The sequence below is a fragment of the Homo sapiens genome, chromosome 20 (genome assembly GCF_000001405.40).
Source record: "Homo sapiens chromosome 20, GRCh38.p14 Primary Assembly".
NCBI classification, from domain to species: domain Eukaryota; kingdom Metazoa; phylum Chordata; class Mammalia; order Primates; family Hominidae; genus Homo; species Homo sapiens.
Genome location: NC_000020.11, coordinates 62476913 through 62491642, shown reverse-complemented (window position 1 = coordinate 62491642; position 14730 = coordinate 62476913). Strand labels below are relative to the sequence as shown.

Genomic DNA, 14730 nt, shown 5'->3' with positions numbered 1-14730 from the left:
ACAGCTGAAGTGGGGAGCAGGCACAGAGAGGAGGTTGCTTACCAGCCGCAGGCCCTAAAACCCATCTGGAGTTTCAAGACACACGTCTTCTCACTGGCTGGGCATCCCCTCCTCCAGAGCTCTCTGGGGCCACTGTCCTGGGCACTGCACCTGCACGCAGGCATTCCTTCCAGCCTTCCTCTGGGGTGGGGGTTCAGAGTCACACAGCTCTCCAGGCTACGCTGCTCCCCCCACCTCAGGACTCAGTTTCCCCAGAGGTGACAAAAAGGTTGGAATGGGCCAGTTTCTGTGATCACTCTGTGTCCAGAGCTCCCTGTGGCATGGGAAGGAACAGGCAGGGGCGCTGGGCACAGCAGGAGCAAGGGGGACAGGGCCAGTGTGAGGGTGAGGGGCGTTGTATTCGTCAGGGTTCTCTAGAGGGACAGAACTCACAGGACAGATGTATATATAAAGGCGGCTTTATTAAGGAGTATTAACTCATGTGATCACAAGGTCTCATAATAGGCCGTCTGCAGGCTGAGGAGCAAGAAGAGCCAGTCTGAGCCCCAAAGCTGAAGAACTTGGAGTCCAATGTTCGAGGGCAGGAAGCATCCAGCACAGAGAAAGCTGTAGGCTGGGAGGCTAGGCCAGTCTAGCCTTTTCACGTTTTTCTGCCTGCTTTATATTCTAGCAGAGCTGGCAGCTGATTAGATGGTGCCCACCCAGATTAAGGATGGGTCTGCCTTTCCCAGCCACTGACTCAAATGTTAATCTTCTTTGGCAACACACTCACAGACACACCCAGGATCGATACTTTGCATCCTTCAGTCCAATCAAGTTGACACTCAGTATTAACCATCACAGGAGGGGAAGGGCAGGGCAGGTGCCAGGGGCGGGATAAGGGGGCAGCGTGAGGGTGAGGGTGAGGGGTGGGCAGGGCAGGTCAAGGAGGCAGGGCAAGTGTGAGGGGTTGGGGGAGGGAGTGACAGGCGGGCAGGTTGCACAGGCGTCACTGCCCCAGGGTCTCTATAGTTAGAGCCCCGCAGTTCAGGGTGACCCTTGAACTACAAGGACCCCAGGCCCAGTGGCCCTATTCCTGGCCCCGCAGAGCCTGGGGACAGCGTCAAGGGATCCCGCCAAGGCTCTGCACAGTAGGGCAGCGCCCATCCCTCCCACCTGCTTAGTCCCTGGGAGACCCCGCTATCTGGTGAGGAGTCACCCCTCAGGGCCCTTCCCGTCTCTGGGAGAACATACAGGCACCCCGTAAATCATGATCCTGCCCCACGGCATCACTCACCAATCCCCAGACAGCCCAGTCGGGAAGGAGCTACTATGAATCCCACTTTACAGACGAGGAAACTGAGGCACGGAGCGGCTCAGCAAGTTGCCCGGTGTCAACAGGGAGGAAGCGTGGGTTGAATCGGACACCATGGCCCCAGGGCCCATGTTCTTGGATCTGTCCCCGCAGCCCCCAGGAGCGTGGAAGGCCCTGGGCTAAGCAGAGAGTACCCGCTTCCTCCAGATCGCAGCCTGGACAGGCCGAGCATCCTGGCCCTGAGCTCTGCAGCCCACACTGGGATCCCCTCCCGCAGTCCACACTGTAAAGTGGGGGACAGATGACCTGTGGACTCTGACACTGTTAGTTCTCCATCTACCCTTGCTCCCCCTCCCTGGCACTCAGTCTCCCCAGCAGTAGCAAGTGAGTTGGAATGGGTGGGTCTGGAATGGGTGGATGGTCCCAGAGTGGCCCAGGCGGCCCCCCTGGGGAGGGAGCTCTGCCCAGCGCAGGCTGCAGAGAAGGGAATGACGTTGGGGCAGGGACTCCAGGGAGCACGGCTGGGACACTGAGCCTATCACCCTGACTTTATGGCTGGATGAGCAGTGAGTCACTGCCTGTTATAGGCTGTGTCATGCACCACCTCCCTGGGGCGGCCCCTTGCCCTCCTGCCCCAACCCTTGGGGCACCCAACTTTCAAGGCTAGCACCCCCATCTGCAGTGGGGACGTTGCTAAAGGTTAGGGTAGTGTGTGCTGGGGGTCGCCCTCTCCCTGGCTGTCAAGGGCCCAGGCTCAAAGTCCAGAGGTGCCTGCCTGCTGCGCCAGGCTTCTGTCTCAGAAGTGCTAGGCTGGCAGGAGGGGCCCGGAGCCCACTGGCCACGCTGGGCCAAGCCCAGGCTCAGGTACAGAAGGCCCAGATGAAGCCCGAGGGCCGAGCCACTTCAGGACAGTGAGAGGTGCAGGGCGCGCTCAGTCAGGATAATAAAGTGCCTCAGGCACAGGTGAGTGTCTTCACCCCTCCAGTGGCCAAACATTTTAAACAGAAACTTCAGGTGTGGAGGGGGAGGAGCCAGGCCTGCCAGGGCACGGCTGAGATGTTCTTCACTTCTGGAAGGGGATCTGCAGCATTTGTTAAACGACATGTCTGTAACTGTCCCCCACACGCCCCCTTCGGGGAACTTATAAAGGCCACTCACTGCACCCATTTAAGTGGGCTGGGGAAACTGGACACACCAGCACGTCCATCTCCAGGGACTGGCCAAAGCCCCTCACACCCCACCACAAAACATCCTGCAGCTGTCAAGGGAGGGAGAGCAGACCCCCAGCCTTCTGGGGGCTTGTGGGGAAAAGGTGGGTGTGGGAGAGGCAAAGGATCATTGCTTTTCTTTTAGAAACTGTATTATCTAAATGGTTACTGTCAGTGTGCATTACTCTTTCAAAAAGAAAGTCCAAAAGGAAATCCTATGGAGGGCTTTGCTTTGGCAAAAAGAAAAAGGAATTGGTTCTTCTTGCCTTAGCACCCACCATCTTCCAGATAAATCCCCAACTCCTCTGGCACCCCCGACCCCCAGATGTCCTTCCCCATCTTCAGTCACGCCAGTTCCAACCACTCACTCATAGCAGTCACTCTCTATGGGCCTCAGGACCCTTCTTACCACCCCAACCTGTTCCCTCTGCCCTGAAAACCCTTTCCTCTCATTTCATTCAGCAAACTCCTACTCATACCTCAAAGCCCTGCCCAAATGCCTTCTCCTCTGTAAGGCCAACAGACACATTTCCATGGTGGGTAAGCTCCAGGCTGGGGCAGGCTGACGTGGGGGGCCTCTAGGTTCTTCCTTATGGAGCTTGAATTCTTTGGTTTCAGCTATAAAACAGGGCATGATGGAGGGAGCTGTCTTCATGAGCTCTAAGTGGTTGACAAGGAGGAGGATGATGATGATGATGATGACAATGATGCCATCATTGTAAGGACCACAAGCCAGACCAGGGTGAGCTCTTCCCACCTCCCAGCTCCCTGCGAGGCTGGGCTCATCAACCCACTTCTTGGATGAGAACTCTGGGCACATGGGGTGCTCACTTGCTCCAGACACAAAATGAAGGAAGGGCTGGAACTTGCACCAGGAGGGCCTCCTGCCAAGCCTGAGTCTATGTGCCCAGAAACCTGTGTGGAGGACCTGGTCTCAAACTCCTGCTGAGCCTGAGTGTATGTGCACAGATGCCTGTGTGGAGGACCCGGTCTCAAACTCATTTCCTAATGTGGAGGACCGGGTCTCAAACTCATTTCCTAAGGTGAAGGACCGGGTCTCAAACTCATTTCCTACTGATTCCCAGGGCTTCCTGGTCAACTGGTCTGTGGCCACAGGGCCAGTGCAGCTCAGGGCCACAGCTGGGAGGTGGGCAGTGGAGGATGGCTCCCACTCACCCGTGCCCCAGGTGAGAGGTTCCTGCCCAGAGGGGCCTCTTCAACCACCGGCACCCCTTGCCCTGTTGGAAGAGAAAGAGCAAGAGGAAGGGGGTATTCACTCCACCTCCCTCTCCCTCCACCCCCAGCCCCAACGGCCTGCAGGGGCCAGGGAGGGGGTAGGGAGGGCGGACTGGGCAAAGCCCTGGTGTTCTCCAGCCAAGGCCAGGGGATTAGGCGGCCAGATAAGGCCTCTGGCTGGAGCAGGGTGCTTATCAGACCTCGGGCAAAACCAACAAAGGAAAATGCGGCAGCAGGGGTGGGTGAACGCCCCATCTACCCTCCCCCGGTGCAGCCCTCTGTAGCCTTCTGTCCTCTCCTCGTCCCCGGGTGGGGACCAGCCCTGACTTCAAGGCTAATCTCCAGGGAAAATGTTCACCTCCTTGAATCAGGTGCAAATGCTGCCAGCTGCGTGACTTATCAGCCCCCCAAGTAAAGAAAGTGTGAACAGCCTGGGGGGAGACACCAGGAGATCTGTGGAGGCCGGGGAGCCCCCGATCTGCCTGGTGAACAGGCTCCGCCTCACCCAGAAAAGGAACCCGCGCAGGGAGAGCCCCACTCCTCCCTCCCCGCGGCTCTGAGACCCCAAGTCAGCTCACAAAGATCCCGTCCCTCCCCCAGCTCTCAGTGGGGAGGGGGCAACAGATGGGGCGGCGGGGAGCGCAGAGCCACAGTCAGACCTGTCCCATGGCTTAGTCCAGCGCCGCTGAAAGATGTCTGTCCGGAGGAACACTCCTCCTCGCAGAGCCACGGTCAGCGCCTCAGAGAACGTAAAGTATCCGAGCTCTCGCTCCCAGCCCCAGGCAGTGCTCCTGAGCCCACGAAAGATGGAGGGCAGACAGGCCTCCCAGAGAGACCCTTCCTAAGCCTAGTTCTGTTTATTTCCCGCTTGGGTTTTTAACTCCACAGCCCTTTTCCAGGAATGCCTGTGAGGCCCCACCAGTCTTGCTTTGAGAATCCTGCCCCACGGATTCCATTCATCCAGGCCTTTAAGGGTGAAAGAGGGACCTCCGAGGTCTGTCCCCAAGAAGACAGAGATAAATGTATCCCCTCACATCCCGATGGCTCTCTAAGCCATCTCCAAACCTCCCAAGCACCAAAGCTATGGAGAACTTCCCCCACCAAGGGAGGGGCTGCCCTTCCGCCACAGGCCGTTGGAGAGCACACATAGAGGCCCGCGTTCCAACCCAGGCAGCCACCGTCAAAGGCTGTGCAGTTTACACATTGCATCCACAGCACAGACATGGGCACACACAGCGTTGCCCTCTGCAGCGGGAGTTGGGCACACACAGGGACCTGTGGCACAGGGGCCACCCCCAGCTGTGAGCTCTGTGCTTAAGCATGAGCAAGCCTACTGCTTCTGAGCGCCTCGGGACAGTCCCACGACACAGGCGTTAGCCCCTCTTAGGATGGAGAAACCGAGGTGCAGAAAGGCAAAGTCCTGCTCCAGTCACAGGGTGACCAGTAATGAGTGTCCAGTTCCGAGTCCAGGCCAAGCGACCTTCCTGAGAAGGATGGCCTCCCCCTGGGGGGGTGGGTCTTTGAATGAAATATCTGAACCAGGGGATGGGCCACAAAGAGGCCCAGCAGGGACCGGGTGAGATGACAGGGAGTGGGGGGCGTCTACGGCAACTGAGAGCACTGCCTGTTCCGAGGGAAGAGCCCCCAATGCGTAGAAACAAGCCCACTGTGGTCACAGTTGGCTGTCAATTTTTTTCAAGAAAAAATGAATCTGGGCTTTTACATGAATTGTTCCAATTTTAAAAAACATGGTGGGGTAACCGCAGCCACAGGTTTGCAGCGCTGACCTCAGACAGGAAGGGATCCCTAGCCAGGGCGCCCATGGTGCTGGAGGTGCCAGGGGCCAGGTGGGGGTCTCTGCCTCCGCCCAGGGAGCCCCTGACAGTCTCTGGGAACTCCCTGGCCCTTTCTGCATCGCCTTGTACCTCGGCGAGACTCCAGGGTTTCCCTGTGTGCCTCTCCACACCTGCCATCGCGCCCTGGAAGGCTCCAGAGGGCAGCCACGTCCACTCGCTCACTCTCGTGTGCCCCTGTCTGGCCCATGGCAGATGCCATCACAAACTTGGAGAAGGAGTCAAGGACAGAACACGTTTGCTCTTCCTCGGCTGTGCCCAGCTCCAGCCTGCTCTGACTGGGAGACGGTGCCCCCCGGAATGAGCCCTCCCTATGTGCTGGGCACGCTTCGGAGCCCCTCACTCCCGGGTTGGCTGGAGTGGGCCACAGCTACAGAGCAGTCCCCTGGCTGGGTGGGTCGACCTTGGGCCCTGAGGGCTTCTTTCTGCAACAACAAGAGGGGAGGGGCTGCAGGGGCTGAGGCCGGTCTGCGGCTGCCTCTGGCGCCTCCCTGTCAGCGTGCTGGGCGGGTTCTTCAGCCTACAAGATGTCAGGAGCCCCTTATCTCCCCTCCAGAGGAAGCCAAGCCAGGGCAGGGGATCCAGGGCTCGGACGCCAGCCCATGTCTGCAGGAGGAGACAGGAGACGCTGGTTTCCCTCGGAACGACCCATCTGGAGACAAGTTCCAGCTGCAGCAGCTGTGGCTGCTCGGGAAATTCTTTGTACATGAGGAATGGGCTTGGCCATCTCCAATCAGGCACTTGGAGGCAGGCGCAGCCTGGGACGGGTAGATTCAGGGTGGAGCAGGGCGGCTATTGTGGGGGTCAGCCTGGGAAGGCGTCCACAAACCTGCCAGCCCTGCCCTCCTGACGAGGGGACAGCCCAGCCAGCCTGGGAACTGCCCAGTGATCTCAGCGGCCCTGGGCCCCTGAGCTGGCTCTTGGCAGGGGTGTGGCCAGGGCTGCTGCCTCTCCCGGGCTGCTGCCTCTCTCCAGGACAGCGGCAGCCGTGGACTTTCTTACTGCCCTGCTGGTGCAGGGCTGGGGACTTTTCCAAGAGTGACCATGGTGGCTCCCCCTTGCTGCCCTGCAGCGCCAGCCAGTGCTCCCTGGGTGCATTTCTCATTTCCTCACGTCAACCCCACCACAGATTGGGAAACTGAGGCTCAGAAATGGCAGGACCTGACAAAGGCAACCCTGCCCACAAGCAACAGGGCAGGTCCTGATCCCAGGAACAGAGTCACATTCCAGCAGGGTCTGGCCGCCCACCAGAGCAGCCCCGAGAGGCCGCCCCTGGACTGTACTCGAAGCACCTGGCAGGCCTGGGGCCCTTACCCTTGAGATGCAACCATCGTCCCCGGAGATGGACAGCACCGCCCTCCTCCAGGGTCACAGACCTAGGCACAGAGCACGGAGTGGCTCCCCCAGGGTCCCAGAGCCCAAGAGGCAGGGCTGGGCTTGACCCCAGGTGGCCCCCAAGGGTCCCGCACATCTCACAGCCACTCCAAGGTGACACCCCACTGCCTGCTCAAAACTGCTCTGTGCAGCCCCCAAGCAATGGATGGCACCTGCAGGCAGGTATCCTGTGGTGTTGGGGGCAGCAGCTTCAGGCCGGGTCTCCAGCCACCCTCTCCAGAGGACCTGGGGGTCCTGCTGCCTGCAAAGTGCCCTGGAACACAAAGGCCCTGCTTGGTCCATCTGCCTCCACCTGCCCAGACCCTGGGCCTTCGGGACATCGCTCAGGACCGCTCTGGCCCCTCAGCATCAAGGTGTCAGTAGGCCTGGCCCCAGCTCCTGATCACTGGGAATGCCTGCCCTTTGCTCCACTCAACCAGGCCTCCACCTGCCATGGAGAAGTTTCCGTAAGGCCAGACCCGCCCACAGGTGGAGCGTTAGACATTCTTTTGCCCTCCGGGACCCTCACTGGGCACTGAGTCAGGGACTCAGAAGATGCAGGAAGGGCTCTCGTGGCCCATCTGGAGGTCAGTGCCCCAGCTGGCTGCCCACCTACGTGACCAGGCCACTCCAGGCTACTCACCCTCCCACCCTGAGCCTGACGAGGGTGAGGAGTGACGGCCAGACTGGGGCACGGGAACAGGCAGCAACGCGGCTGCTCCCACCGAGCACGGCAGCCATCGTCGCGTGGAAAAACAGCACCTTCCAGGCCTCTGTGAGCACACGTGCCCATGGGCGTACACGTAGAGGCATGTGTGCGAGTGTGTGGGTGCATCTGGATGTACACACGTAAGTACACACAGGTTTGTCATGAGCACTGGGTGGGTGCATAGGAATGTGTGTAGGTGTGCATGTGCACATGTATGTGCATTAAGTGTGGGGGCACAGAGGTATGCATGCATGTGAGCACGGGCCTGCATGTGTGCACATATATGAGCATATGCATGTGTGTGCACAGGTGTATGTGTGTGGCTGCACACAGGTGTGCATGTACAAGCTCAGCCCTTGCTATCCCCACTCCTTCGTTGCTGAAGGAGAGTGGCTTTCCCTCTTTGCTCAGGCCCAGCCAATGTGTGTCTGTTGCAGATCCTCAGAGCTTGGAGCCATGGCTGGCTCTAAGGTGCCTCTGCGTTCTCACTCCCTCAGACAGGTTTTTGCATAATCCGCAGGGCAGCTTCAGCCAGACCCTAGAAAAACGTTATTTCCCTTTTCAGATTATCTCTTTGAATCATCCATGAAATATTTCAGTCTCTATTATCAATGAGCTTTGTTCATGGTGGAAAATACAGAAATGCAAAAAAAGTTAAAGGATGAAAATAAAAGGCTTGCATCGTCCCAGCCCCTCAACTATCCTTTTTTTCTCTATACTTTTGGATGCTTTCCGAAGCCTTTTAACTCCCCTGGATTCACATCTCAGGTCCCCTCCCGCCCGCAGAGTGGGGCTGACTCTTTGACACTCACCAAAAGCTGAACATTGGGCAGACATAACTGGAATGTGACAAACTCTGCTCCTGGCCAGGAAACCCCACTGTCCTACTCAGAGGCGGACAGACGGCTGCAGGGCTCCTGGGCAGGAAGCGGCAATGCAGCCCACAGGCAGGCTGGGCACTCCCAGCTCCTCCACGCTGCTCCTCTGTGGACAGCCCAGCGCAGGACAGGTCCCCTTGACAGGGCTCCAAGACTGTCAGTGGCAGACGTCTCCAGGAAGACAGGAGAGAAAGAGGAACATGGGGTCAGGAGGCTGCGGGCTCCCCAGGCTCCTCTATGCGGGGGTTAGGAGCAGAGAAGGAATGAAGGAGCGGGCAGGCCAGAGGAGGGAGGGAGGGGAGGAGTGGAGAGATGTTGTTAAAGACGAGAGCAAAAGAGAAAGCAAAGGCGAGAATGCAGGGGGTGGGGGGTCCCAGGCACCAGCAAAGCCCTCCCCCAGCTGCCTGGGCCAGGCTATGAGCCTCCAGCCACCCGCTGGCTCTAAGAGTCTCGAGAGTAAATCCCGCCCCCACATCCTAAGGAGGTGGCGTTGCTGAGGTGGTGGCCGGGCTCCCGCAGACGGGGCCACAGTCTAGTCGTGCCCAGCCCAGCCCAGCTGACACCTCCCCCGGTCCCCGCATCTAGACCTGAAAGTGAGTTGAGTGCAGGCCCCATCATAAACGGCCACCCCACCGCACAGGGCCAAGGTCATCACCAGCCCTGTTTGCATCCCCAGGTAAGTCTGTCATGTGGGAGACCGAGGGTGCCGAGGGGGTGTGACAATGGGTGTCGCCAACTGCAGGGACACCAAAGCAGCTCACTAAGATGCCCTGCAGGCCCCTTGGCTTGCAGCCCTAACAGCCCAAACCTGCTTCCCCTCCCTGCCCCACGGAGGGCACGCCTGCGGTGGGTGGGGTTATCCCAGCACATGGCAGGACGTTTGAGAACGCTGCAGTCACGGGGACCTTGAGTGCAATGACCTCCTCCCCGAAAACAAACTCGCTTTGAGCTCCTCCCAGAAGACCCCCTGAGCAGTCCTCGGGGATCTGGCGGCGAGTGCCTGCCCTGCCGAATGCGGAGCCCGCGTTGCGAGGGGCTTTGAAAACAGATTCGGTTACACAGGCGATGTGGCCGAGAGCTGTTTTCCTTTCCCGCTCCCTTTTCTTGGCAGCCAGTTTGGGCCCGGCCGGCCGGGTCACCTACAGTGCAGGCTGTTTCCAAGGCCCAGCATCTTCCGTTGGCAGGACCTGGCTGCCACCTCTAACACGAAGCCTGCACAGAGGTCGGAGATGGTGCTGGTGGATGCGGGGTGCTGAGCTCTGTCCCCACCCCACAGACCCTCTGAGGGCTGCAGGCGCCTTAGACAAAAGGAACACCCACAGAGCAGGCGCCAGAAGGAGCTGACAGGAGGCTGCGGGGCCCACAGAGCAGCACTCAAGAGGCACGCAGCTGGGTTCAAATGCCAACTCCGCCCCTGCCCAGCTGTGGCCCGGGGACAGGTCACTTCTGTCCTGGCCTTGGCTTCTTCACCATGAAACGACACGGGAATCACCCACCTCACAGGACAGCTGTGAGCTTTCAAATGTCAGCTTGCTGGGCTGAGCCAGGCGCACAGGATGCTCCAGAAATGCCCAGACTGGAGTCAGGCAGAGGGGGGACACTGCCAACCTGTCCTTGCCCCTGGAGACTGACCCAGAGTGGCAACAGCCAAAGGGGCGGTGAGCCTGGCCTGCCCTTGGGCTATTGAGCTCAAAGGTTCCGCAGAAGGGGACACACACTGTGTCCAAAATGAATTCTTATACCCGTATGGTGCCCCCAGGCTCCCCAACCCCACCCAGTTGGGACCACCCCCAAGGCACCCACCTCCCGGGCCCCCCTCACCATTGATGAGCTCTGCAGTCCTTGGCCTTCGGGCGAATGGAGCCCCCTGTGTAGGAGAAGCCCTGGAATGCTACCCTGTGGGTCCCAAGGGGTGGCGAGGTCCTGAGGGTGCTGTGGGCCCAGTGGGCTCAGCTGATGCCCCGGGCCCCACAGCCCTGCCAGGGTGGAGACTGGGGGGAGGGGCAGTGCTGAAGGTGGGGAGAGGGCCATGAACTGGCTTTTCTCCCACTCTGGGGGCCCGGGGCATGCGGTTTACCTGAAATAACCAAGGAGAAAACAGACCTCCGCCCTGCGCTGACTGCCCTGCACTGACCACCCTGCTGGAAGCAGGCCTGCCCCTCCCTCTAACCTCCTGCCCGTCAGACCACAGGGAGCAGCACAAGGCCTCCCCCTTCCAGGCCCCAGCACAGCCCCCAGGCCTCCTTCCCTGCCCTGGGGTCTCTGGGGCCTTTCCCCACAACTTCTCATGGCCTCCCCACTTGCAGGGAGGGACAAGAGCCAAGGAACCCCAGGACTGGGATTGATAGGGGTCATCCCAGCCCCCTCCTCAGGCAACTCTGACAGCCCCCTTCTCAGAGGCACCCTCCCCCTGGCTGGACAGAGGGTGGCCTCGCCGGAGCTCAAAGCCTCAAGTGGGACCATCCCCGGTGCCCACATGTGGAGCATCCAGCACCTGCAGGCAGCGTACAAGGCGAGGACCCACCTGCCAGGGCTGCTCCTCAAGGGGGCCCTGCCCAGGACTGCTTCTGGGAAGGGCCCTCCCTGGGGCCGTTCCTGGGCAGAGAACAAGGCCCCTGGGGGAGGCCATGTACCCAGGACTCCACCCACAGGGGCCGTGTCTGAGGCGTCTCCTGGGAGCTGGTCCTTATCCTCCTGAACAATGAGACTGTTTTCTTTCCCTTGATAAGTATGTCTGAGTTAAGGGTTCCCAAGCTGGGGGCGGGCAGGATGGGGGTTATGTGGGCACTGCTAGGAAAATGACAGCAGGAAACGAAACCCAGAGCCTGATGGTTTGAGCCTTCCTCCCCCAACCCCAATGCCAGCCCCCCCAACACCTGCCCCCTCTCACCCCAGCCCCACCCAAACACCTGCCCCCTCTCACCCCAGCCACCCCCCAACACCTGCCCCCTCTCACCCCAGCCACCCCCCAACACCTGCCCCCTCTCAGCCCAGCCGCACCCCAGGCCACTCAGGCCCCCAGAAGCCCCTCACAGCCCAGGACTCATGGAACTTAACTCTGTATGGTCACCAGGGGGTTAACATGCCCACCCTCTTATCTCACTGGGGGTGGGGTCCCCGCCTTAGAGGTGTGTCTTCCCAGGCCAGCCATGGCAGGTCCCTGGGTCCCAGTGAACCAGGGAAGCCTTCAGGAGAGAGGGGTCACCCATGGCAGGGCCAGAAATTCCTTCCTGGTCTTTGTCACTTCCCCTGGCTCCCCGGCTCTCAGGGCCCTGGGCACACAGCTCAGAGCCTCCATCCCTGCACTGGGTTTTATCTCAGACAGCATTAGCCCAATGCCTGCTGCATGCCCATCCCGGGTCAGACGCCCTTAGTACCCAGTCCCACTAATGCCTCCCCAAAGCCACCGTGAGAGGCAGGCACTATCATCACCCCCACCTTACAGAAGAAGCAGCTCACCCAAGGCCACACAGCCCGGAGATGCCAACGCTGAGTCCCAAAGTTCTGACTGTGCCCGCTCGATGCCCTGACCCGCTGTTCCTGAAGCTGTTCTCCTGACTCAGCTTCTGCTAAGGTGACAAGACGGAGGCACACAGCCATCTGACCACACCGCACAATGAGGCACCAGGAAGGGGAGAGCAACGTAGGGGAAGGGACAGGAAGGGACCTGCAAGACGGGCCTTGAAGGATGTGTAGGAGTTTGGCAAGAAGAGAAGAGGGCAAAGGGCCCATTCAGGAAGCAGCATGGGCGGGGTCCAGGGGAGAAGAGGGCTTGCTGCTGGGTGGGGTAGCCTGGTGGACTGGGTCACCTGGCTCAGGGGCCACCTCCTTCCTGAGGGGCCCAGAGCACCGGGAGTGGAGAGCTGCACGGAAGCATGGTTCGTGGGGATCGAGGACGTCGGGGGCACCTGGGTTTTGAGGTTTGAGCCGAGACTCCTCACTTTTTGGCTCAAGTAGAAACAGGTCTGAGAGGGGGTCCAGATACTGTCACAGACAACCCCCACGGATGGGTGCCCACCCCCACCAGTCACTGTGGAGGCAGCTGGATCCACGTGGAAAACACGCCACCAGTGGCTTCTGCTGCTGCTGCAGAGCAGGTGAGCTTGTGACTCGCCTAGCAGGGCACCAAGTGACCAGAACAGCCCCGGACCCCCAGCCCTGTCCTGCCTTGTGTGGGGCGCCGCCTCGGAGGAGCCTTCGAAGGGTAAATTTTCCCTTCCCCGCCCTTCATGGAGGCCCAGGGTTTAATACAAATGTCCATTGTAGATATTTATTAACTCAAGAAAGCAACCAACCACTATCACTCAGAGACTCCCTTCTTTGTTTTAATTGGCTTGTTTAATTGCTAGCTGTGTGGCCTGGGGCAGGTTAGCTCACCTCTCTGCGCTCCATTTCTCCATCTGTATATAGGAATGATAATGTGATCTGTTGCATAAGACTGATGTGAGGACTAAATGGAAATGTCAGGACAAAGCACAGCACCCGGGCAATGTTGGTGTTTCCTATTCAAGAACTTTACAGATTTTATTGCAAGTAAAAAGCACGAATCCCTCCCCGATTCGTCCTGCAGGGTCCCAGGTTTGCTGTGGTTCTTTTCTTGTTCTCTAGACTTTTCTTGGGGTTAGCGGTGGCTCAGCCCCCAGCAGGTCACAAGTGTCCCTTTTTACTTCTCTTCGTTCTTGGTGCTCATGAGGGCTCGGTAACCCGGGCTTTGAGGGCAGAGGGGTCAGAGCTTGGGTCCAACCAGCTTTGCTGCGCTAGAGCCCTCTGCAGCCGCTTGGACTGCACTGCGCCCTCTCGCCCGCACCGAGGCCCCGGCACCTCTCCACCCCTTCGTGGAGTGCACTGCCATCCACAGACAAAGTCTGCACGTGTGGGGTCAAAGAGAGACCCTCGCGGAGACCCAGAGTGCCGGGAGAGCAGAAGGCAGGGGAGTCCACACAGGGCAAGCAGCAACCAGGCTTCTGAGGACAGGAAAGGAGGGAGCATCTGGTGGGAAGCTGGCGAGGAGGGGCTGGGAGCTGGTAAAGGGGTAACGGAAGGTCGCCTAGCTCCCTACCCCAATGGCAGCCGACCCCCACCCCAGCCTGCCGCGCTGCACCCTCTCCTGCACAGGCCTGAACCTGCTGCGGAACCGTCTGTGGGGTCCCAAGTCCACCACAGACCAGGGGCTTCAGCCTGCTGCCTTCCCAGACGCAGGGACCCTGGACGCCTCCACAAGCACCCTGAATCCTTATCTGCTGTGGGCGAAGAGGAAAGGCCAGGAATAAGGGCGCATGTGGGGCACCCCAGCTCTTCCCAGACGGACAGCGCCGGCTGTCCAGACCCCCGTGGGGGGGATCCAGTGACACCCACCCCGACGGCCCCACATCGCCGCCTTCCTGCCTTCCCAGGTCTTCACCCTTCACCAGCGTCCTCTCCGAGCCCTGACTGACAGGAGTTGAGGGCCCGTTTCTGCAAGGAAGAACTTTCATGCGGTGGCTCCCGCCTGTAATCCCAGCACTTTGGGAGGCTGAGGCGGGCGGATCATCTGAGGTCAGGAGCTCGATGAGACCAGCCTGACCAACATGGTGAAACCCCGTCTCTACTAAAAATACAAAAATTAGCCGGGTGTGGTGGCGGGTGCCTGTAGTCCTAGCTACTCAGGAAGCTGAGGCAGGAGAATCGCTTGAACCTGGGAGGCGGTGAGCTGAGATCGCGCCGCTGCACTCCAGCCTGGGAGACAGAGCGAGACTCCGCAAAAGGAAGGAAGGGAGGGAGGGAGGGAGGGAGGGAGGGAGGGAGGAAAGAAAGAAAGAAAGAAAGAAAGAAAGAAAGAAAGAAAGAAAGAAAGAAAGGAAGGAAGGAAGGAAGGAAGGAAGGAAGGAAGAAAGAAAAAAGAACTTTCATGGCCACCACGCCTGGGTCCACCCGGTGTGCTCCGAGAAAGAAAGAAAGAAAGAAAGAAAGAAAAGAAAGAAAGAAAGAAAGAAAGAAAGAAAGAAAGAAAGAAGGAAGGAAGGAAGGAAGGAAGGAAGGAAGGAAGGAAGGAAAGAAAGAAAGAAAGAAAGAAAGGAAGGAAGAAAGAAAAAAGAACTTTCATGGCCGCCAAGCCTGGGTCCACCCGGTGTGCTCCGAGAAAGAAAAAAGAAAGAAAGAAAGAAAAGAAAGAAAGAAAGAAAGAAAGAAAGAAAGAAAG

General features: G+C 59.1%; 1 long non-coding RNA gene across 7 annotated transcripts, besides 3 other annotated features; it reads right to left on the bottom strand.

Moving 5' to 3' along the window:
• Positions 1–444: 444 nt before the first annotated feature.
• On the bottom strand, positions 445–11191 carry LOC105372711 (uncharacterized). 7 transcript variants are annotated; one of them, XR_007067706.1, is made up of 4 exons: positions 10374–11191; positions 8487–8723; positions 3679–6197; positions 445–3162 (listed from the first exon to the last, which is right to left on the bottom strand). It is a non-coding gene; the product is annotated as an uncharacterized LOC105372711 (long non-coding RNA). The 7 variants fall into 7 exon arrangements; XR_007067703.1 differs by having other exon boundaries at positions 445–3120; XR_007067705.1 differs by having other exon boundaries at positions 3679–3740.
• Positions 795–1002: a silencer, noted in NCBI's record as "fragment chr20:61065697-61065904 (GRCh37/hg19 assembly coordinates)". NCBI's record gives its function as "represses an EF-1alpha promoter that drives an FKBP-Casp9 reporter gene in an ReSE screen in HepG2 liver carcinoma cells {active_cell/tissue: HepG2}" and the evidence as "EXISTENCE:reporter gene assay evidence [ECO:0000049][PMID:32094911]".
• Positions 5357–6237: an enhancer, noted in NCBI's record as "H3K4me1 hESC enhancer chr20:61060462-61061342 (GRCh37/hg19 assembly coordinates)". NCBI's record gives its function as "activates a minimal SCP1, AML or CMV promoter by ChIP-STARR-seq in primed H9 embryonic stem cells {active_cell/tissue: H9 hESC(primed)}" and the evidence as "EXISTENCE:reporter gene assay evidence [ECO:0000049][PMID:30033119]".
• Positions 6238–7119: an enhancer, noted in NCBI's record as "H3K4me1 hESC enhancer chr20:61059580-61060461 (GRCh37/hg19 assembly coordinates)". NCBI's record gives its function as "activates a minimal SCP1, AML or CMV promoter by ChIP-STARR-seq in primed H9 embryonic stem cells {active_cell/tissue: H9 hESC(primed)}" and the evidence as "EXISTENCE:reporter gene assay evidence [ECO:0000049][PMID:30033119]".